Here is a 23,722-nt window from a genome sequence, read left to right as displayed (position 1 = left end):
GACAGAGTGAGACCCTGTCAACAAATAAATAATAGGCAAATAAATAAATACATAAATAGCTCAATGAATTTTCACAAAGGGAATACACCCATGAAACCTAAAGCAGAGCATCACCAGCATTCCAAATGCCTCCTTTCCGTCCGTTTCGTTCACTATCCTGCTTCCAAGGGTAACAAATACCCTGACTTGTAACATCATAGATATGTTTGGGATTATTTTGAACTTTATAGAAATAGAGTCATATAACATGTACTGTTTTATGTGTGTTTCTTTTGCTTAGCATTATGTTTATGATGCTTATCCAAGTATTCGCATGCAGCAGTAACTCATTCTTATTATTGTGTAATATTAAGTTGTATAGTTATTATATAATTGTTTAATTTTATAATAAATAGGGATTTGGAGGCTTCCATTTTTTGGTTATCATGACTAGTATTTACTTGGGGGAACCTATGCAGGCATGTCCATTGGGTACAACCTAGAAATGGAATTGTAGTCTATTTAAATGTACCTCTAGTAATAGTAGGCCTTAGTAGTGGCACTACTGTGCAGCTACAACACAAGCATTAAATACAGTAGTAAATTGCAATATTCTAGTACTTGACTATATTAGCTATCATGCTGTTTTTAGTAGTAATAGTAAATATTACAGTTACACATGTTTGTAGTATTATACCACAACATACTTTATGTAATTATATATTAGGAAGAGAAAAATATATTTATAGTTCTAGGTGCATTATTAGAGTTACCTATTCTTAATGAGCTTGCCTATTATTTCATATTTTATAATGAACCTTTGATGTAGTATTTTTCATAAGGACATATTAAAATTCAGATTTTGGTAAACATGGTTGATTTTTTTGCTATTGAAAGGAGTTACAAGCAAAAGATATATCTATATCTATCTATCTACACACACACATATATATATATATATATATATATACATATATAAATATGTAGTGACTTATTTTGTAAAATTTAGGCAGAACTTGACCTACAGATATTTGGTTAGTAAGCCTATTCCCACTGTTACACACGCCATGAAGTGATACTCCAGTGGCCTGAGAGTAATCTGGATTGCTGGAGACTGATAAAGAGAAAAGCTCCTTTAGGACCAGCACCAGTGGATGCACTTCAGTTTCTCTGCTAACTCACGTTACTGACCCTTTTCCCCTCCAACCTCCACTTGAGATTACATTTAAAGCACCATGAATAACTTCCATGTAAAAAGCTTTAGGAAAGCAAACTCTACAAAATTCACAACATATCAGTGTTTGAAGTAGACTCAGATGATGATAATATCTAGGGTTCCAAATTCCCTTACGTAATATTTGAGAACAAAACAGCCACAATGAGCCAGGACTAGAATCTGGATGTGCTGATCACATTTCAAAGCCCTGTCACAGATTACTTCACACACCTGTTTTGGACAGAGAGAATTTCTTCCTTGTTTGTAAAACTGAGCTGTCTCTCACCACCATTTGTGCTGATTTCGGTTTGTTCTTCTGGTGGAGATGGTAAATGTTTGATAAGACCATGTCTGAAAATTTTAAAATATCTCTAACCAGGATACAATTTCTGCTGTTTCCTGAGTGACATGATATTCAGCAATAACATGGTTCAGAGAGAAGGAAGGAAGTGTGGGTAGTTAAGGTGATCTAAAAGTTTTAAGAAAACCTAGAAATTTATATTTGTGATTTGGAAATTATGGCATGCAAACGCCTGCTTCTATGAATGTAATTCTCCCGTTTTGCTTCAATATTCTTTCTTTCCTGTTTCACCTAAAGACCGAAGAATCATTGTTAAGTTGACTTTCGTCCTTTAGTCCTGTGGCCAGGACAACAGAAGCACAATCTAAAATATAGTGCATTCCAGCCCCAGTTTCCCCAACTACTTCTATGAATTTTTCAGACAAGTAACCACTCTGTCTTTGTTTTCTCCAACATAAAAGCAAATTAAATACTACTGACTCTCACTGGAAAAGAATATGAATATGTGTGAGTTTTTCCATGAAAAAGCTCCTTGGAAAATGTAGTAAGTGACTTCAACCTATAAGACTGTTTTTGGTTTAGATACTCTGAAGAAGGATTTTCTGAGGAAGCAGGACAGTTTATCTACAATGGTGAGTATAGGTTCTGTCCATCTATTTTTCTTCTACCTGGAGAGTGATATACCTGTGCGTGTGTGTATGTGAGTGTTTATGCACATATACATGCATAGGCATGCAAAAGAGTCCCTGAGTGTTCTTAAACTGGCTGCAAAACACTATTCGTGGTCACAAGACTTCAGGAAATCCAGAAGAAAGTGCTGGCTCAGAGCCCACAGGCTCACTAACAGTCATAGGCTATGTTCTGCTAGTGGTTGCTCAGATAACAACCACTGCTATAGGAAAAGAACTTTATAAAATATGTGTTTATATGGGTGTGAGTGCACATCCCCATATGTTTGCTGTTTGGCAGGGGATTGTGTACATAACTATGTGATATAGGGGAAAGGTTATAGGTGAATGCATGTATGATTGTTTCTGAATCAAAAATGAATATGACTTCTGAGGTGATATATGTACAGTTTGTGGTAATTTGACAAACGTGGGTATCTAGTATGATTATCTGGTTGTGCAAGTCTAGTCTAAGGGCATGTGAAGATGTTCGTGTATGCAGGGGTGTGCATGTGCATGTGTATATGTTCCATCCTGGTTTTCTGTGACCCTCACCTGATTATTGGACAGGCTTCTGCAGCCATGGGACCAGCTTTGAAGATGACTTGACCCTGGGAGCGGAGGGTAAGTGGCACAGTTCTCTGAGGTTGGGATGAGAAAACAGGATATACATTGTATGAATTCAGGATAGGATGGAAGTGCAAAACTTCAGAAAGAAACAGCCCATCCCTGGGGTCTTATCTACAGGGAAAGGGCAGTCTCATTATTATCTAATGTAAAATGCAGAAGGCATCACATGCCCAGAAACACCTCCTCATCAGCCTACCATGACTCTTACTGGTTCATCACTGGAACTTTCCTTTGGCCCCTGGGATGATAACATATAAAATTACTATAATGTTTGCTGCCCAGATAGCTTTAAGACTGTTTTCTGTACAGAAACTCCAAACAAGTCTGTGCATTGGATGTAAAATAGAGACTATACTGCAGGAGGAGAAGGACATCAGTAAAGAATGAAAGCACAGCAACCTACCAGTGTCTCCTGGGAGCTGTAAAGACTTGTGTAGGGGGACAGGAACACTAGCCAGGAAGGCCAAATGACTCTATCCTTTTTAGGACAGAGGGGCTCTTGCCTAAACATCAGTCATGGGTCAGAAGTTCATAGGGTTAAGGCCAGTTACTCTCTGGCATATCTGTCCCTATTCCAGAACTGTGTTAGGTAATCTTGAGGCCCCAAGAAGTGCAGAATTTATGGGGTCCAGCTAGCCTGTCATAGTCACAAAAAGAAACAGAGGGGACTGAGTTTTAGGTTCAGAGGGGCAACACAGGTGATTTTCATTTTCCCTTCTAATTTGCTCTTTGCTTCTCTGTTTCTTGTCCAGCCACACTACTGGCCGCCAATGGCAAACTCTTCTCCAGGTAAGTGTTAGGTTCAGCCAGGGTGAATGATGTCTCCTTTAAGAATCAGTGAATTGGGGTAGGTCAAAGAGATTAAAATAAAGAGCTAAAGATTCACATTAGAGAGTGAGACTTTCCAACGAACAAGCACTGCATAGACTACTGTTCAGGGGGTGAATAAGTCCAGCAGGGATTCCTCGAAGCCAGGGTGCAGACTGGAAACAAGATTTGTATGACATCAGCTTTGATCTCTGCAGGAGTTTCCTCGAGACAGCCAGGCCTTGCCAGCTACTTGATCTTGGCTGTAGTTTGGCTTCCAGCAGCATGACTGGGGGGACCAACAAGACTAGTTCAAGGTAGGTACTGAAGTTTGGCAGGGTGGAAGGGTGGAGAAGATGAGAAGCATAGGAGAATGGAACCAAGAGCCATTGCCTGTTTTTTCTGGGATATCTTACTGGAGCTTTTATGCACTTTTACTGCATACTTGAAAAATGTGACCATATTTGTTTCAAGAATTGTGAAAGACACAGAGGAGTCTTCTCAGAGCTGAATACTATGTGTAAAATACAGGTGTCTCCTCCCACTGAAACTTGTACCCCAGGAGGTATAGTACTGGTACCATCACAGTTCCAAGACTCAGAGTAGGTGCTCAGTAAACAATGTATTGATTAATTGACTAATTTGTTGACTGAATGAAGCAATAAAATATTAATTCATTCGGACAGGCAGGCCAGGCAATGACTGTATGGAATTTGAAAAAGATGAAGCAGCACTATTCACAATAGCAAAGACATGGAATCAACCCAGCTGCCCATCAGTGATAGACTGGATAAAGAAAATGTGGTTCATATACACGAATACTAGGCAGCCATTAAAAGGAACGCGTTCGTGTCCTTTGCAGGGACATGGATAGAGCTGGAAGCCGTTATCCTCAGCAAACTAACACAGGAACAGAAAACCAAACACCACATGTTTTCACGTCTAAGTGGGAGCTGAACAATGAGAACACATGGACACAGGGAGGGGAACAACACACACTGGGACCTGTCAGGGGATGGGGTGAGAGGAGGGAGACCATTGGGAAAAATAGCTAATGCATGCTGGGCTTAATACCTAGGTGATGGGTTGATAGGTGCAGCAAACCACCCTAGCACACGTTTACCTATGTAACAAACCTGCACTTCCTGCACATGTACCCCAGAACTTAAAACAAAAATGAAAATAAAAAAAGAAAAGATGAAGCGGACAAATAGCTTGATCCCAGGAGCTGAATGATTTCATAGGGTGGACAAAATATACACACAAATAACTCTTTGAAAAAGATGAAAAGTCAGGAAAACTAGTATGATATAATGAAAAGTATCTGAAATTTGAAGTCAAAATTTGAATTTGAGACCTGGTTCTGAGACTTAAATTTTGTCACATGACCAAATTTAGTAATTTATCCTCACTGAGCCTTAGTCCTAGTTCATACCCTAGTTCAATTTAATCAGAATGTCTGAAGATGGGATTCAAATATATGCATTTTTAAAGCCTGCAAAGGTGACCCTAACATGTAGCCATGGTTGAGAAGCACTGATCCAGTTTTACGCCCACAATTCACAGATAGGGAAACTTAGGACCATGGAGATAAAAGCTGGCAAGGACAAGAGTAGATCCAGGGATTCCGACCGTCCAGCTATTAGCTAAACAAGATGGTCCCTATTTGATCAAAAAGCCCAGCATACTTTCTGAAGAGAGTGATAGTGATTATTCAAAGCCTCAAATAATAACAGCTTCCCTTAGCCTCACTGTCTGAAACACAATTACTAAGCTCTAGTGTCACCCAAGTTGGTGGAACTCCGATTTAGACATAAATCCAGGTTGATACCATAAAGAGAGAGTGCGTGCACGGGATCTTCTGTGACACAGGACTTCTGTACTGAAAATAGTGCTAGAAAGGAGCATACCTCTCAAAATCAGGTTTTGGATGTGCTTATTGATTACTTTTTGCCCTAAGATCAAGAATAAAAATGTTTACCTTCAGGGGTTCTATGTTTCTTACATATTCATTGCTTAGTTGTCCCACGCAACAACCACTGGGGCAAGTCGGATGGCAAATTTGGGAACTGAGCACTTAATGATGCAACTGTGAAATTTATTTGTATCTATGCTGCTCTTATTTTTCAAAATCCTTTTATATTTACTTAAATTTTTATTCGTCTGCAATAAGTTGTTCAAAGTACTGTACTAAAATTTTATTCAGTTTTTATAACTAGGGTTGGATTGTAGTTTCCATGTTTCCAACAGATAATTTAGGTTCAGAGAAGTGAAAGCTTTTCTCAAAGTCACAGTGAAAAGTAGAGAAATGGACAGAAAAGAATTTCAGTCTTCTGACACTTTTATTAGATATTCTGATATTCTGAATTACCATGTGTCTCAAAGTTGTCCCTTATTTACCCAAACTCCCTCATTTCAGCATCTCAGAAATTCTGGACAAAGTGCAAGAAGATGCAGAAGATGTCCTCTTCAGTCTGGGCTTTGGCCAAGAGGATCACAAAGACACTTCTCGGATACCCGCCCGATTTTTCACCACCCCCTCTCAGGCCAAGGGCATTGATTTCCAGCTCTTCCTGAAGTCCCAGGTGCGGAGGATTGAAATGGAAGACCCCTGCCTCATGCTGGCCAGTGAGTGTCCCTCCCAGGCACCTGCTCTACTTCCCTTTTCCTTTAGATTTTCACAGCAGGGCTCAGTGGCTTCAAATCCTGCTTTCTCTTGGTTATCTTTAACCCTTTGCCTATTGTGTCTATTTCCTCTTATGTTGTCTTCAGTGAAGATGGAGAACTCTGTCTGATTCTTTCTCTTAAAGAAATAGCCTTTAAGAGACTTCAGGCCACTACTGCTTCCTTTAGGCCTTCTTGCCTTTCAGTCAATCATATCAGCATGATGTCTATAAATCTTATCCCTCTTTTTTGTTTCCCAGTTGGAATATCTACATGGGATGGGGTGTCAAGAAGTTACGAAATTCCAGAAAAAGAGTGTTAGAAATCTAAAAGGGAGAAACACTAGTAGGAAAATTGGAAGCTTCTCCCTGAATTTTGAGCTTTGGGGAGCCTCCTGAAGGGAGAGATTTAAGAAGATTTGCTGATGAACCCCAGACTTACCATCTTTAACTCTTGTACCCAGGCAGGTTTAAGCAGGTGCAAACACTGGCTGTCACTGCTGATGCCTTCTTCTGTCTCTACTCCTATGTGTCTAAGACACCTGTCCAAAAGTTCACACCATCCCACATGTTCTGGAATTGCAACCATCCAACTGATGTGCCATCCATCAGGATTCTGTCCCGAGAGCCTGAACCCCAGTCACCCAGAGACCGCCTTCGGAAAGCCATCTCCAAGATGTGTCTGTACACATGCCCCCGAGACCGGCCACCACCACCCCACAACACCCCCAAAAGGAACAGTTTGGACCAAGTTGTGTTGGAAGTGATGGACAAAGTGAAAGAAGAGAAGCAGTTCCTCCAGCAAGACTCTGATTTGGGGCAATTCTCACAGGAAGATCCTGTGCCCCCTGCTGAGGGTAAGAAGTTGCCCACTTCTCCCTATCCATGTGTCTTCTGCTGTGAAGAGGAAACACAGCAGAGGATGTCCACAGTGCTAGCACCATCCCAAACTCTGGATTCGAACCCCAAGGTACCCTGTTGCACACATTCTCTGCCCATAGAAGATCCACAGTGGAGCACAGACCCAGCTCAGATAAGGAGAGAGCTGTGTAGTCTACCAGCCACCAATACGGAAACCCATCCAGCCAAGGATGAGACTTTCTGGAAAAGAAAGAGCAGAGCAAGAAAGAGCCTCTTCCAGAAGAATCTCATGGGCAGGAAGGTTAAGTCCTTGGACCTGTCCATCACCCAGCAGAAATGGAAGCAGAGTGTAGACAGACCAGAACTGCGTCGGTCTTTAAGCCAGCAGCCACAGGACACTTTTGACTTGGAGGAGGTAAGTGGGTTGGAGGTGAGGGAGAGACTGGCAGAGAAAGGCTGTAGATTCTTTCCCAGAAGATGAAGGGTTAGAACCCTTGGGGGAAAAATAATCCAGGCTTCCTGTCCTAGCCAGATATACCACTTTCTGATTTCAATTCAGGGTTAATATACAGGGAGAAAGAGACAGAGGCCTGGTTTCCTAAGAGCAGTCGAGTTTTCAGAGCTCCTTTGGTAATACCTGATCTGATTGCCATTTAATGTTCCCATTAAGTACACCTCTCATCACCATTTGTTGTGGTCCTCATGAGATTACAAATGGAGAGCAGTTTTACACAAAGCTAACCACTCTTAAATAAAATAAATTCTCCCTTACCTTGACAAATATCTAACCATAAAGACCCAGAAGTCCAGATTTCAATCTAGGATTCTCAGACTGTTAGGACTTCTGTGCTAAAATGTGACAGTGTGAGCAGAACCACTCCCCAGCTCCTGACCTGTTCCCTTATCTTCCAGTGCCCAGACCTGTCCTATACCATAAGGGACCTTGCATGTCCATGTTTGGTTACCCGAGCCTGCACATCCAAATGCCACAAGCTCCCACCTACACAAAGAGCCATTGGTCATCATTTGGGCCTAGGCTGCATACACTACTGGAGAGGTCAGCCCTTGAGAGAACAGTCATCAGGCAAAACCAGCGCACATTCCTGCAACCGGCTTGGGGCCATTTGACCAGCAAACTTTGTGATTCTGGGTAACCAAAGAATGTTCTAGAAGGAATAGTGCAGGACTAGGTGGGCACATTCTCTAAGTCCACCAACTCTTCGTGTTCTCTAAGTCCACCAACTCTTCTGACCCTCTAAGACTCAGAACTCCTCTCGCCTGGGTCTATGGAAGATACTTCCATGAAGTGTTGGGATCTCTTTAAAAAGCTTTTAAATCCTTGCCACAAAAAGAAGCCGTGATTATTTGAAATATCATTTGCATGTATGTCACCTCTCCTTGAATGTAGAGCTACACCTCCGCTCCTGCCTTCCTCATTACTGTGTCCCTGACACCACAGAAGAGGCTGTCTCTCAAGTACACTCAGCCTCCTTCCCCTACAGCTACCTGCCACCTGCACCTTTCCTTACCCCCTTTCCCCCTTGGCTCTGGCTGAGTTCTGTGGGATCTTGGTTACAGGTGCAAAGCAACAGTGAGGAGGAGCAGAGTCAGAGTCGCTGGCCCAGCAGACCCAGGCACCCCCACCACCACCAGACTTTTGCTGGCAAAGACTCGTGAAGTAAGTGGGCCTCTCTCAGGCAGTTCTCAAACCTGGCTGCACATTGTAATCAAATGAGGAAGGTTTTTTTTTTTTAAACCCATAATAAAGGGTCCCACATTCTGTAATTCTGATTTAATTGGAAACCAATGACTAATTATTTTAAGCTTCCAGGTAATTCTATTATGGCTGGAAAATACCTCTCTAGATCAATGATGCCCAGGCTTTGGCAGGCATCACAATCACCTGGAGGGCTTGTTAAAATACAAATGACCAGATCCCAGCTCCCAGAGTGTCTGATTGAATTGGCCTGGATAGAACCAAAGAATTTGCATTTCTAAGAAGTTCTCAGGTGATGCTATTGCTGCTGGTCTGGTAATCACAGTCTGAGAACTGCTGTTCCAGGAGACATTGTGTAGAACTTTAATATTCAAACTGTAGTGTACAGATACAAGGAGCATCAGCATCCCCTGGGATTTTGTTAGAAATGTGGACTGTCAGCCCCCACCCCAGACCTAATGAATCACAGTTTTACCAAGATCTTTAGGTTAGATAATTGATTGCATATTGAAGTTTGAAACTCATTGTAGTAGAAGTTTTGTAACAGGTGAGGACCAGCCATGGAAATCAATATCCCAACACCTGCTTTCAGCTATGTTCTAATCAGCCCACATCATTGAACTCAGAGCAGACTCCTCAATGTACCTCACAGCTATGCTCATTTAGGGTCTGAGCTCCCTTCTGCAACTGTGGTCTGATGAAGGTAGCTCTCCCTCCCCTCCTCAAAGCAGGAAATGAATTTCACATTGTTATTTATTGCAGCTAAAATTTCTTTCCTCCAGATATGAGTTTTTCAGTATTAATTTTTTCAGAGATATCTCTTATACCTTTAAATAGTTTGGCCAGTAATTTATTATTTAAACTAATGAAAATTAATCTTTCTGTAGTTTTAACCACCTATCTGCTACAACCACAAAGAAAATGGCATAAGGGATAATGGTATTTTCCCCAGATAGTATAAATTAAAATCTTTATTGAATTAAGTAAATAAATCTTGCTTAGAGATTCCTTTATTTTGGATATCTTGGTACCATTTTCTACATTTTCTAGTCTAATTGTTTTCTTAGTTAATACTCCAAAATTTCAGTGGTACTTGCTCAGACACACAAAGATATTTACAATTCTAACTGTTTTAATTCTAATTCTCTGTGGTTTTAGGAATCTAATCACTCTTGTTTCTCTCTTACCTACTACCTACATCTCAGGGTATATGAATCATATGTATGTATTTAGTCACAAAAGAGGTAAATAGCAGAAGGCATCAATATGTCATATGCACTTCAAGAAGTTTCAGATGGTTTCAGTTGCTGGTCTGGCATGTTAGGAGCTAGAAGCGGCCACTCCACCCAAACAACAAGTAAAAACCTGAACAGACTGAAAAATTAGTAACCGTTCTAGACCCATCAGAGAAGTGGGTCACAGGGCAAACCACTTCTCCTCAAATTAGAGAAATAGGCAAATGCAAAGATTTATGACTTGTTAGAGCAAAAACCCCAAAGCATAAACTCCCCCAGGAATCAGAACCACGGTAGAGAACCCGGACAATAACCGAGGAATTACTGGATGCTCAGCATGGACCAGTCTGAGAAATAAAAACTCTAGGGAGACCCAGTCATTGGGAGGCCCCTTGTTTCTGGGAGTCTTACTTCTAGGAGCTCAACCATGTTCTCACAGGAAATACTGGAGAAAAATCCCCTAGTGTTTCCCGCAGGGGGCGGGAGAAAGGAACCATTTTGAAATGCAGCAGAGCATTCTATTCCTCTTAACAAAGTCTTCCCTCGGGAGAAACTAGATACCAAAAACCTAACCGGATGAGGTTTTATCAGAGACTAACCGACCTGAAGGAAGGGAAACACCCAACTCCTGCCTACTCTAGCCATCCCGTCCCATTAAAGGGGACAGAGAGGATGAGAAGCACAGGTGAGAGTCACAATCCAGAGGCACAGTCTCACTGGAAGACTGAGACCTAACCATAAGACCATGGAACGCTTCCCTTCTCCCTAAACCTTACCACCACATTACTAAAAGCCTATTTACATCAATTTCTTTTACTCAGTACATCGCGTCCAGTTGTAAAAAAAAGACATAGTAAAAGGCAAAAACAGGTTGAAGAAACAGAGAAAACGTTAAAACCAGTCTCAGATATGACAGGGATGTTAGGATTATCAAACTGGAAATTTAAAACAACTAAAATGATAAGGGCTCTAATGGATAAAGTAGTCTGTGCGCAAGAACAAATGAACAGAGAGATGGAAATCCTTAGAGTAAAAAAAATGCTAGAGATAAAAAATGGTGTCACAGAAATGAGGAATGCCTTTGATGGGCTTATTGGTGGACTGGACATGGCTGAGGAAAGAATCTCTGAGCTTGAGACTATAGCTATAAAAACCACCAAAACTGAAAAGCTAAGAGAAGACTGAAAAAAATATAAGAGAATATCCATGAAATGTGGGACAGTTACAAAAGGTGTAACATATGCATAATGGAAATTCCAGAAGGAGAAGAAAGAGAGAAAGAAATAAAAGAAATATCTGAAACAATAATAATTGAGAATTCCCCCAAATGAATGTCAGATACCAAACCACAGATCCAGAGAGCTCAGAGAACACCGAAAAGAATAAACACACGCACAAAAAAACGCAAAAATCTACACCTAAGCTTATAATTTTTAAACTACAGAAAATCACAAGTAAAGGGAAAAATCATAAAAGAAGCCAGAAGGAAAAAACACCTTACCTATAAAAAAACAAAGATAAGAATTACATGCAACTTCTCCTCAGAAAATGTGTAGTATATACTCCACAAGTAGGTTCTTGCCAAGAATTGAATTTACTCTAAAATGCAACACTTTGCTTAAGTGTTGTTTGTCCAGCAGATGTCAGCCTTGCACAAGAAAAAAAATGCCAAGATGTTCCACAAAGCAGGCTGTGTGCAGGATTTATATGGTTATACATTCCTGGGCAATCTATGCAATGCAATGCCCAGAACACAAGTTCCTCTCACAAACCTGTCCCAACTTTGTCTAAAGGTCAGTATTTTAAAATATCAGAATTGAATTGCTAGGGAGAAAGTATTGCTAGGAGTCATACATTTCAAGTACCTAACTAGATTCCATTTTCTGCCAGTGATGGGGCTTCATTACAGCAGGAGAGGCAATGGTTTAAAATGCTGTATTTTATTGATTCTAAGGCACACATTTTTCCACATTTTAACATCTCTGAAATTAGGTTGTGCCTTAAAATTCATAGTGTCAGCCAATTTAGTTGTCTTTTTTTGCCTCCTTAAGTGGAATGTAAAATAATTATGAGTCTTACAAAAAATGGTTTATGATCATCAATGAAATAGCATAACTTTATAAATTAAATGCACTTTTTCTCTCAAGTAAGTTAGGAAAATATTTTGTGATTTTTTTCTATGATTACCTAGAAGAATAAGAGATCTCTTCTTTCCTGACGCAGTCTTTGGCTGAGGAAGGGGTCACAGTAGTTCCCAAATTTTTCCAATGTCCTGTGCATTTGTTTAACCATCTTTTCACAAAGCTATAACCTATTTCTCTCAATCCACTCCTCTATTACCCTTTAAGAAATCTCAAGAAGCGGAGAGAGCTATAGCAACAGCTCAGTACTGCCAATATTAAAGCCTGTGTGATAAATATGGAAGGGGGAAGTTCACTCACCACAATCAAAGGCAGAGCTAAGTGGGATAATTTTTTTCAGTTCTGCTGGGAAATAGTCCCACTTCTGCCTTTTTCAGAGTCTGTAATTATTTCCTGGAGATTAGTGATCTTCCATTATAATGTCGTTTTAAGTTCCAGGTATTAACTACTACTTGTTAGTAGTGGATAGGAAGTGGTAGCAGCACTCAGCCAGCCACCGTGTAGCGTTGTGCAGCCCATGCATTGCCCAGAGACACCCAGCTGAGTAGGCAAATGGGAATTAGAATCCAGCCCTACTGAGCTTGCCATCCAAAAACTCTAGGGCTTTCATCTTCTAAGAGCGAGCTCCATTTTTTTCTAATTCATTCACATAGGGTGAGTGCCTTTCTGTAATTAGCACAAGGGCACTGCTGTGGTTTGAATGAGTCTCGCAAAGTTGGTATATTGGAACCTTAACCCCCCATGCAGTGCTGAGAGGTCAAACCTTTGAGAGGTGACTAGGTCATGAGGGCTCTGTCCTCGTAAATGGATTAATGTCACTATTGTGGGAGAGGATTCGTTATCTCAAGTGAGCTTGTTATAAAACCAAGTTTGGCTGTGTCTTGCTTTCTTGCCCTCTCACGCTGTCTTCCCCCTCCATCTTCCGCCATGGGATGATGCTACAAGGAGGCCCTCACCAGATGCAGGCTTTTGACCTTGGATTTGCCAGCCTCCAGAATTGTAAGAAATAAATTTCTTTTCTTTAAAAATTGCCGTTATCTGTGGTATTGTCATGGCAACACGAAATGAAGTCAAACAGGCACCTTTTCTATTAAAAGAGGACCTTGACCCGCAGCCAACAGCTTTCTTCACTTGCCACCTTCTCATTTAGTCTCTGCTGGGAAAGAGGTTTTAATCTTCCTCCAAGTTCCTGAGAAAGGATGACCCACATCTTTCCTCATAATTTCCACCATGCTCAAAAATGTCAAATTCACAGCCCTTTCTATTGGTTTCCTGTGTTGACATTTAAACCACTTGACCTTTATCACACTTATAAGCGGCAGAGCCAAGGAGAAAGTTTTTATTTTTTTGTCGTTCTTTTTGTTTCTTTTACCAGATCTGAGGTAGCACAGGTCAATATTTATTCTCTTTGTGAAGTGACCATATCTAGAGGTGGAAGTTTTCATTTTTATGGTCACCCCTGCTGGTGGCAGCAGAAGAGACAGGAGGGACTAGGTGGGAATGCTCGTTCAGAGCACAAGACAAAGAAGAAAACTAGCTTGAGATACCCCCAAATGGTGGGTAACTCAAAGCACTATCTGTTTGTACTTGGTGGAACCTGTGTAAGTTGGGTAGCTACAGTCTTCTCTTTGATGTAAGATTGTCCTATGTGATAATATTACCAATAACAATATATATAGGGATTACTACATAGCAGACAGTATCTTTAGCACTTATGGATATTAAATCATTTCATCCTATGACATAAGGTCTTTCATTATTCCCCATTTTATAGATGATGATACTGGACACATTTTTATATCAAAATAAATTCTGAAGAGGGACAGTCAGATGTGAAGTGTAAGAAGAGATTAGACAAGGGGGAGGGATAGTGGGAGGACATCAAGAAATTGTGAATATTTTTCCACCTCATTTACAATTCTTACCAAGGTTGTTTTGCCTCTGTTGGGAAAATATAATTAAAAACAAAATCTCCTCCCACCCCAGGAAATCACTCCACAAAGGTGTAAAAGAAAGAAAGTTTTATTTTTGAATACCATTGAAGCAGACTATGATATGTATTACAGAACATCCACTAAACAGATTGCAAACACAGAACGAAATCTTACCCTTGTACATAGCCAGGCAGATACAACCCATTACATGGCTGTTGTCAAATAAACAATACTTTGTCCTCAAGTAAGAAGACTTAACAGAATCATTTGTCACTCACAGTTCACCCTAGACTTACCTGGTAATTGGAGTGGCCATCTGTGTCAGTCAATTGGCTTTATGCAAAGAAAAAAATAAACCTCATATTTTTAAGACAGGAAGTGGTTTTTGCAAGTTAAAACAAAGTGCTTAAGTTAGATGCCCACCTGCCCATTGAGACTGGAAGAGACAGGTGCTACCCTCCTTGATAATTACATTTCAAAGGGATGGATGTCAACCTTTGTCCATTTTTTTAATTGGATGATCTATTTGTTTGTTTTGTTATTAAGTTGAAGAAGTTTCTCATATATTTTGGAATTATCATTTATTGAAAGAAGACATACAAGTGCACAACAGGTATATCAAAAGATTCTCAGTATCACTAATCATCAAGAAAATGCAAATCAAAATCACAATGAAATATTACCTTAAACCTGTTAGGATGGCTATTAGTGAAAAGAAAGATACGTGTTCGCAAGGATGTAGAGTAACTGAAACTTCTGTACACTGTTGGTAAGAATGTAACATGGTGCAACGGCTATGGAAAAGAGTACTAAGTTTCCTCAAAAAATAAAAAGTGGAACTACCATATGATGTAGCAATCCTATTTCTGGGTAATTATCCAAAAGAATTGAAATCAGGATCTTGAAGAGATATTAGCACTCCTATTTTCACTGCAGCACTATTCCCAATGACTAAGATGTGGAAACAAACTTAATGTCCATCAGTGGATGAATAGATAAAGAAAATGAGACATATATATACAGTGAAATATTATTCAGCCTTTAAAAGAAAGGAAGCCTTGCAATATGTGATGGCATGGATAATCCTGTGGACATCATCTCTCTATATAAGACTTATATGAGACAATATTTCTGAAAATGCTATACAGTATAATTACTAGAGGCTCTTTCTACCAGAAGGACTGTGTAAAGTGGTGTGGATGAAGCCAGGACCTCCTCTTCTCTGCACATCCTCAAAAGCAATTCTTACATTGCTTTCTATGTGAATGTTGACACCTGATGTTGTGTGCCTTGGCAGCCTTGGAAGTAATCTTGGTGATCCATTTGAACTACAACTTAGAAAATGGGGATTAAGCAATGCAGATAAAGATTATCTTTCTGCCTTCCACAGCCAAAGAAAGAATGAGACAGTATAGATAAAGGGAAGACTGAGGAAGAGAAAAGAAGATACAGAAGTGTTATTTTGTCTGTGGTTTTGCATTTTGTGATTTCATTTACCTGAAATCCATTTTATACTTGAATGGGCTCAAGAAAAGGACTTAGCAAGATCATGCAACTAGTTAGTGTCAGAGCCAGAACTAAGGCCCAGGTCTCCTGAGATCCAAGCCAAGGCCGTTTCCATCAGAGCATATGGCCCTGATTGAGCAGAAGTTTAGGCTGTTACTGTGGATCAGGGCAAGCCTCGCTACCTGTACTTGGATCTGAGCTTCATTTACTGTGTGCCTTGACCCTTTATGCTAAGTACCAATACTCTCACTACCTTTGTCACCACTGAAATGTACTTGCCTTCTTATAAAGTCACCAGCAAGAGAAGCATTATACAGAATAAGCAGAAATGTTCACAGGATGCTTTGAGCTCATAGTTTAGTGAAAAACATGACAAGAGAATCAGTAATTATTAATAATTTTCATTAAATGCCATAGGGACCAGAAATTAACCTTTCAGAAGATGGCATTACTTTTTTTAACGATGTGTGTTGGCAAAGATGTAGAGAAGGTAGGCCGGGCACGGTGGCTCACGCCTGTAATCCCAGCACTTTGGGAGGCCGAGGCGGGCAGATCACGAGGTCAGGAGATTGAGAGCATCCTGGCTAACACGGTGAAACCCCGTCTCTACTAAAAATACAAAAAAAATTAGCCAGGCGTAGTGGCGGGTCCCTGTAGTCCCAGCTACTCGGGAGGCTTGAGGCAGGAGAATGGCGTGAACCCGGGAGGCGGAGCTTGCAGTGAGCTGTGATCGTGCCACTGCACTCTAGCGTGGGCGACAGAGCGAGACTCCGTCTCAAAAAAAAAAAAAGTAAATAAAAAAAGATGTAGAGAAGGTAAGTCTGGACAGATGTGTCCAACATTGAACAGGGAGAAGGTGGCTGAGGAGAGTAGAAAAAGGAAAAGCAGAATATTGATATTCTAGGCAGAGAGAAAGGTAAGTTCAAAGACAGATGAATGGAATACCACAATATCTTATGGAAACTACACCTTATGCCTAGTGGGAGAAAGGGGATGTGCTGGAGAAAGATCAAAACTGAAAATAAGAAAGATAAATAGAAAGGAAGTTATAAAACAGAGTCTCCTATGTTATTTTAAGTGTTTTGGTTTAGTCTAAGGTAGGAATCCACTGAAAAATTTACAAAGGAAGTGATGTGATTAGATTTGTCTTTTAGAAAGATTATTCTGGTAGAAGTATGGGAGATGGACTGGGTAGGAAGCCGGCAGAGTAAGGAAAATAATTTAAGAATCTACTGCAGAAACCTAGGGAGAAATGTGATGATCAGAAACAAGCTGAAGGCAGTGGGAATAGAGGGGAGGACGAGTGAGATTTTGAGATATTCAGGAGGTAAAATATCTAAGCCAGGACCGATTAGACTTGTGTTTGGGGAAGAAAAATGGAATAAGGAACAGAAAGAAAGATAGGGCATACAGGTTTCCTCTTGGGCAACTAAATGGATGTAAATATCATTTTATTAAGAATGAAGTAAAAATAGGAATAACAATTTGGAAGGCAAATATATTAAAGTATAATTTTCAAAAAGGTAAAATAATGACTCTCATGCAAATGTAGATAAACATGTTCAAAGACTTTACTCAATTCATTAATTACTGAAGGCACCAGCAATATGCTTGACCTGGTCCAAAGACTATTTGAGAAGTCAGTTTATACAGAGAGAGAATTTAACAGATTGCCATATTAGATACAAAACTGGTTAATATCCAATAACAGCATAAACTTTATCTCTGGGATTACTGGTTCCACTGGATGGAAATTATTTGCATCTCTACCCAACATAAATCACTAAGGTAATCTCTGCTCTTGCAAAACTATAAAATAGCAGTGTAAATAGAAAGTCAAGATTAACACTGTACTGAAAGAGTATCTAGTCATCTTGTTTGACTATTTAGAAAAAGCTGATGAGTTCATATCTGAACATGGTGAGTGTAAGGTACTTCTAAAATACTGTGATAAAGAGGTTCATGTCTTCATTGGTTTCTGTTGCTATAATAGAACATTACAAACTAGGTATTTTACTTTATAAAAGAAATTTATTTACTACAGTTCTGGGAGCTGGGAAGTCCAAGGTTGAGGGACCACATCCGGTGAGGGCCTCCTTTCTGCATCATAACATGGCAGAGGATATCACATGGTAAAAAAGCAAGAGCATGCCATCTCAGGTCTCCCTTCCTCTTCTTATATAGCCAAGATTCCCATCATGGGGCCTCACCCTGATGAGTTTATCTAATCCTAATTTTTTCCCTAAGACCTCACCTCTTGATACTATCACGATGGCAATTAAATTCCAACATGAATTTTGGAGGGCAAACTCAAACAACAGTCCATAAGGCAGTTTGGATAAAGGAATCTAGGAATTGAGCTTTTTGGAGTTCAAGGCTTACTTATAATAGGTGACGGCATGAGGAAAGATAGTTCACCCAAGAAAGTATGCAGAATCAGAATCTGAAGTAAAAAAAAAAAAACAACTTAGAAATATTAATATTTAAAGTTTTATCAAGGAACAACGTATATAAAGGAGCAATATTGATTAGAAAAAGGTTGCAAATAGAAACCAAGTGATGTTTCTCTCAAGAAGGAGGGTGTAGTCTTCAGTAACATTTACCATAAAATATCCAATAGGAAGGAAAATGCAAAGATACCATTGTATTTGTGACTAGATAACAATTACTAACCTTGATAAGAATATTTTTATTTGGGTGACAAGGCTTTAAAATATTAATATGAAAAGTGAATAAGAAATGTTGAAAAGAAAGTAGGTAAATAATTTTTTTCTAGGATGGTGAAAGTTTAAGCATACAGTAAATATTTCCCTGGAAGGAAAGAATCAATAGAATGGGAAAGGCTATGGTTTAGGAGGGAAGGAATTGTATGAGTCTCTTCTCACATTGCTGTAAGGACCTAGCTGAGAGTGGGTAAAGAAAAGAGGTTTAATTGGCTCATGGTTCCACAGGCTGTGCAGGAGGCATGGCTAGGGAGACCTCAGGAACTTTCATTCATGGCAGAAGGGGAAGGGGAAGCAAGCACATATTCACATGGTCAGCAGGAGAGAGAGAGAAGGGGGAAGAGCTACACACTTTTAAACAACCAGATCTCATGAGAATTCACTCGCTGTCATGAGAACAGCAAGGGGGAAATCTGCTTCTGTGATCCAATCACCTCCCATGAGGCCCCACCTCCAACATTCAGGATCACAATTCAACATGATATTTGGGTGGGGACACAGAGCCAAACTATATCAGGGATGTTAATGGTGTGAAGTCACTGAGAACTGGGATGAGATGAGATTCAAGGCACTTTTGGAGGGTGTAGCTAGCCATAAAGTAGTGTGACAGATATTTCTCTGAGATTAAAGGGAAAAAAAAATGGAAAAAAATTTTAAGTGTCAATATGGTTATATTGGTCATCTGGAGAGGAAGTCAAGAAAAATTCTGCCTATTTCTTTCTCTCTTTTTCCTGTGGGGTCATTACTAAAAAGTGTGAGTCAGGAAAGGAATGGTAAAAATTTGAGAATTCTACTATGTAGAAAAAACAAGAGAAATACTTATTAATAGAAAATGCATTGCTAGTTGAATAGGTGAATAATGTTAGGCTCATTTCAAGGTGCAGAACATGAATTGATAGTGGTTTAGTGATATTCTCCAACAGTGTTCAGCAATCCATACAAAAAAATAAAGGTATAAATGTATGCCTTTATAAGTATTAAACAGTAAGAGGTAAACTCTTGCAGGAATCTCACCTCATGATGAAAAGAGCAGAAACCCCAAGTCACATGACTCTTTGCTGCTGCTGCTAATAACTTTAAATGTCACTTATAATACTGAGAAACATTTCCACAGCTGAGGTATGAAAGTTCCTACCAACCTCAGTACCCAAAGTTGTTTAAAAAATGCATGATATGTATCTTTTTTATTCCCATTGCAGGCTTTCTCCACCACCACAACAGCATGTGGTCTGACAGAATTGGCTTCAAAGAAGAAACTAAAAGCCACCTCTTGCAGGAAACTGCACTGCCCTCAACATCCAGCCCCTACTCCTTGGTCCTCCAAACCCCCAAACTCTGCAGGAGAAAGGCAGCATGGTACATGGGGAGGAAGACCAGACTGAGCGATTTGGAATCCACATCCTAATGCTGCCACAAGCTGCATGCACAAAGACCTTAGGCACATCTCTTCATTTCTCTGTACACTGGTTTCTCTACTATGTGTGTATTAAAATATATAATGTGGATGATAGTAAACTGAACAAAGCCTTAATTTTCTCCCAAGCTTTGACATTGCCAAGGGCAGTTAGGAGACTTCAGGATCAAGTTTAGGGGACAAGTTTTTTTCTAATACTTTCAAAAGGCCCAAGTGAAGAGAGGAAGGACACCTCACTTTCTGGCTCTAAAAGCATGGTACATCTCACACTAGGATTCCCTCTGCACCTCTGTTCATCCCTGTATTCCTAACTAAATTCCAGAAAATCTTCTACAACACTGGAGTCCTATTTTTCTTCTTGAGACCTCCTTTGAAGAAATCAACTTGGAGACTCCTCCTTAAATCCAGTTTCTTTCTCTACCCAAAATTTTGCATCTTTATAGAAAAAGAGATAAGTAGGATTCAGAGTCTCTTCTCCTAGCCATTGTGGGGGGAAAAAATGCTATTTCTGTTGGCAGAAAACAATACAAATATTTTTTTTAAATCATGGCATGTTTTTAAAGTTAACTAACAGCTGTAGTTTGCTTTGGAAGTTAAATGTTTTGTCAATAAACAGGGCTTGAGCACATGCAGTGCTCTCTTAGGCAGTATGTGGTTTCAGAGCATCTTGGACACATTTCTCCCCTGAGAAAATATTAATATTAATAGAATGGGAGAAGTAAGATGCACGCATTTCCAGAAGTATATTATTTGGCTGCCTAATAAATTGTGAGACAAAAGAAAAAAAAAAAAAAAACAGGAAGAGAGGGACTTGAGGGAATTTGAGGGAAATCATAACCAAAAGTTTAAAGGAAAAAATTACACCAGACATGATAAGCAGAAGTTGATTTTGTTCTGGTGCTATTGCCAGCATTAGGGGAGAAGGCACAAACTGAGTCTGATACGTAGTGAGGCAGAGACAAAAGGGCTAGGGTGGAAAAATTTTTAAACCATCTGTGTTTACTAATTCCCCATACCAAAAGAACAAAATGAACTTTCTCCTATTTCATGATAAAAGATAGTTTCACAATTTGGAAAAAGCCCCCCCACTCCAAGTTTCCTACCCTTCCCACCCACAGAAACCAGGAGACAGGGGAACTATCTTCCTTGATGTTAACATTTCAAAGAGGTGGTTCTCAGGTCCTAGAGAAAGATATTCCTGAGTTGTAAAACTGGGAAGAGGCTGGAAGAAGATTTAGATCTCAAGAAATAGAAAGAACTACAGCAAATTTTCTAAAGCAAATATTCTTAAGGGAGGTCAAGGGCCTGAAGTCAGGAAGAAACCTATTTGGTCAAGCTGAGGGGAAAGTTAAGGCTATCTTGTCACAAGAGAACAGAAATATCTGACAATATTTCATTTAAAGAACTGTATTAGTCCATTCTCACACTGCTATAAATAAATACCTGAGACTGGGTAATTTATACAGAAAAGAGGTTTAATTGGCTCACAGTTCCGCAGGCTGTACAGGAAGCATGGCAACATCAGTTTCTGGGGAGGCCTCAGGGAGCTTTAACTCATGGTGGAAAGCAAAGTGGGAGCAGGCATCTTACATGGTATGAGCAGGAGGAACAAAGGAAAGGGGAGGTGCTAACACTTTTAAATGACCAGATCTTGTAAGAACTCACTCATTATACAGTACCAAGGGGAGATGGTGCTAAACGATTAATGAAAACTCTACCCAGTAATCCAATCACCACCCACCAGGCCCCACCTCCAACAATGGGGATTACAGTTTGACATGAGATTTGGGTGAGGACACAGATCCAAACTGTCAGGCCTCTGAGCCCAAGCTAAGCCATCATATCCCCTGTGACCTGCATGTATACATCCAGATGGCCTGAAGCAAGTGGAGAATCACAAAAGAAGTGAAAATGGCCTGTTGCTGCCTTAACAGATGACATTACTTTGTGAAATTCCTTCTTCTGGCTCAGAAGCTCCCCCACTGAGCACCTTGTGACCCCCACCCCTGCCTGCCAGAGAATAATCCCCTTTGACTGTAATTTTCCACTACCTACCTAAATCCTATAAAACAGCCCCACCCCTATCTCCCTTTGCTGACTCTCTTTTTGGACTCAGCCTGCCTGCACCCAGGTGATTAAAAAGCTTTATTGCTCACACAAAGCCTGTTTGGTTGTCTCTTCACACGGACGCCCGTGACATTTGGTGCTGTGACTTCGATCGGGGGACTTCCCTGGGGAGATCAATCCCCTGTCCTCCTGCTCTTTACTCCATGAGAAAGATCCACCTACGACCTCTGGTCCTCCGATGAACCAGCCCAAGGAACATCTCACCAATTTTAAATTGGGTAAGCGGCCTCCTTTTACTGCCTTCTCCAACCTCTCTCACTATCCCTCAACCTCTTTCTCCTTTCAATCTTGGCACCATCCTTCACTCTCTCCCTTCTCTTAATTTCAGTTCCTTTCCTTTTCTGGTAGAGACAGAGGAGATGTGTTTTATCCATGAACCCAAAACTCCGGTGCCGGTCAGGGACTTGGGAAGACAGATTTCCCTTGGTGTTTAATCACTGCAGGGACACCTGCTTGATTATTCACCCACGTTTCAGAGATGCCTGATCACCGCAGGGATGCCTGCCTTGATCCTTCACCCTTAGTGACAAACACCAGTTTCCTAGGGTGCAAACACCCCCCCACCCCTTCTCTCCGTGTCTCTACCCTCTCTTTTCTCTGGGCTTGCCTCCTTCACTATAGGCAACCTTCCACCCTCCATTCCTCCTTCTTCTCCCTTAGCCTGTGTTCTCAAGAACTTAAAACCTCTTCAACTCACACCTGACCTGAAACCTAAATGCCTTATTTTCTTCTGCAATGCTGCTTAACCCCAATACAAACTCAACAATGGTTCCAAATAGCCAGAAAAAGGCACTTTCAATTTTTCCATCCTACAAGATCTAGATAATTCTTGTCGTACAATGGGCAAACGGTCTGAGGTGCCTGAGGTCCATGCATTCTTTTACACATGGGTCCCTCTCTAGTCTCTTTTCCCAATGTGACTCATCCCAAATCCTCCTTCTTTCCCTTCCACCCTTCCCCTCAGTCCTAACCCCAAGCATCACTGAGTCTTTTCAATATTCCTTTTCTACAGACCCATCTGACCTCTCCCCTCATCCCCAGACTGCTCCTCCTCAGGTCGCTCCCCACCAGGCTGAATCAGGCTCCAATTCTTCCTCAGGCTCTGCTCCCCCACCCTATAATCCTTCTATCACCTCCCCTTCTCACACCCAGTCCGACTTACAGTTTCTTTCCCCGACTAGCCCCCGCCACCTGCCCAGCAATTTCCTCTTAAATCGGTGGCTGGAGCTAAAGGCATAGTCAAGGTTAATGCTCCTTTTTCTTTATCCGACCTCTCCCAAATCAGTTAGTGTTTAGGCTCTTTTTCATCAAATGTAAAAACCCACCCCAGTTCATGACTTATTTGGCAGCAACTCTGAGACGCTTCACAGCCCTAGACCCTGAAAGGTCAGAAGGCTGTCTTATTCTCAATATGCATTTTATTACGCAATTCATTCCCAACATTAAATAAAGCTCCAAAAATTAGATTTTGGCCCTTAAACCCCACACAGGTCTTAATTAACCTTGTCTTCAAGGTGTACAATAATACAGAAGAGTTGCAATTACTTGCCGCTGCTGTGAGAGAAACTCCAGCCACATCTCCAGCACACAAGAACTTCAAAACGCCTAAGCCACAGCAGTCAGGCATTTCTTCAGGACCTCCTCCCCCAGTATCTTGTTTCAAGTGCTGGAAATCTGGCCACTAGGCCAAGGAATGCCCACAGCCTGGGATTCCTCCTAAGCTGTGTCCCATATGTGCAGGACCCCACTGGAAATCGGACTGTCCAACTCACCTGGCAGCCACTCCCAGAGCCCCTGGAA

At 40.7% G+C, this 23,722-nt stretch overlaps 1 protein-coding gene across 34 annotated transcripts in view, besides 1 other annotated feature; it reads left to right on the top strand.

Annotated features, from left to right (window-relative positions):
- Positions 1–21,956, top strand: part of TESPA1 (thymocyte expressed, positive selection associated 1) — a 37,174-nt gene extending 15,218 nt beyond the window's left edge. For 11 of the 34 annotated variants that reach the window (XM_047429930.1, NM_001136030.3, XM_047429929.1 and 8 more), the window contains 8 exons: positions 2,079–2,128; positions 2,735–2,788; positions 3,547–3,583; positions 3,820–3,918; positions 6,021–6,229; positions 6,729–7,540; positions 8,704–8,803; positions 19,581–21,956. In XM_047429930.1, coding sequence (XP_047285886.1) covers positions 2,079–2,128; positions 2,735–2,788; positions 3,547–3,583; positions 3,820–3,918; positions 6,021–6,229; positions 6,729–7,540; positions 8,704–8,802 — 1,360 coding nt within the window. In that variant the 3' untranslated portion in view covers position 8,803; positions 19,581–21,956. Of the gene's footprint in view, positions 1–1,957; positions 2,129–2,734; positions 2,789–3,546; positions 3,584–3,819; positions 3,919–6,020; positions 6,230–6,728; positions 7,541–8,703; positions 8,804–13,163; positions 13,218–19,580 lie in introns of all 34 variants that reach the window. The other 23 variants (NR_147063.2, XR_007063147.1, NR_147062.2 and 20 more) reach the window with 17 other exon arrangements.
- Positions 10,601–10,650: an enhancer, noted in NCBI's record as "active region_6446". NCBI's record gives its function as "activates an Ori minimal core promoter by ATAC-STARR-seq in GM12878 lymphoblastoid cells {active_cell/tissue: GM12878}" and the evidence as "EXISTENCE:reporter gene assay evidence [ECO:0000049][PMID:35858748]".
- Positions 21,957–23,722: the final 1,766 nt, after the last annotated feature.

Source organism: Homo sapiens, chromosome 12 (genome assembly GCF_000001405.40).
Source record: "Homo sapiens chromosome 12, GRCh38.p14 Primary Assembly".
In the NCBI taxonomy this organism is placed as follows: domain Eukaryota; kingdom Metazoa; phylum Chordata; class Mammalia; order Primates; family Hominidae; genus Homo; species Homo sapiens.
Note: the sequence above shows the minus strand (reverse complement) of the source record. Positions and strands in the feature narration are given on the sequence as shown.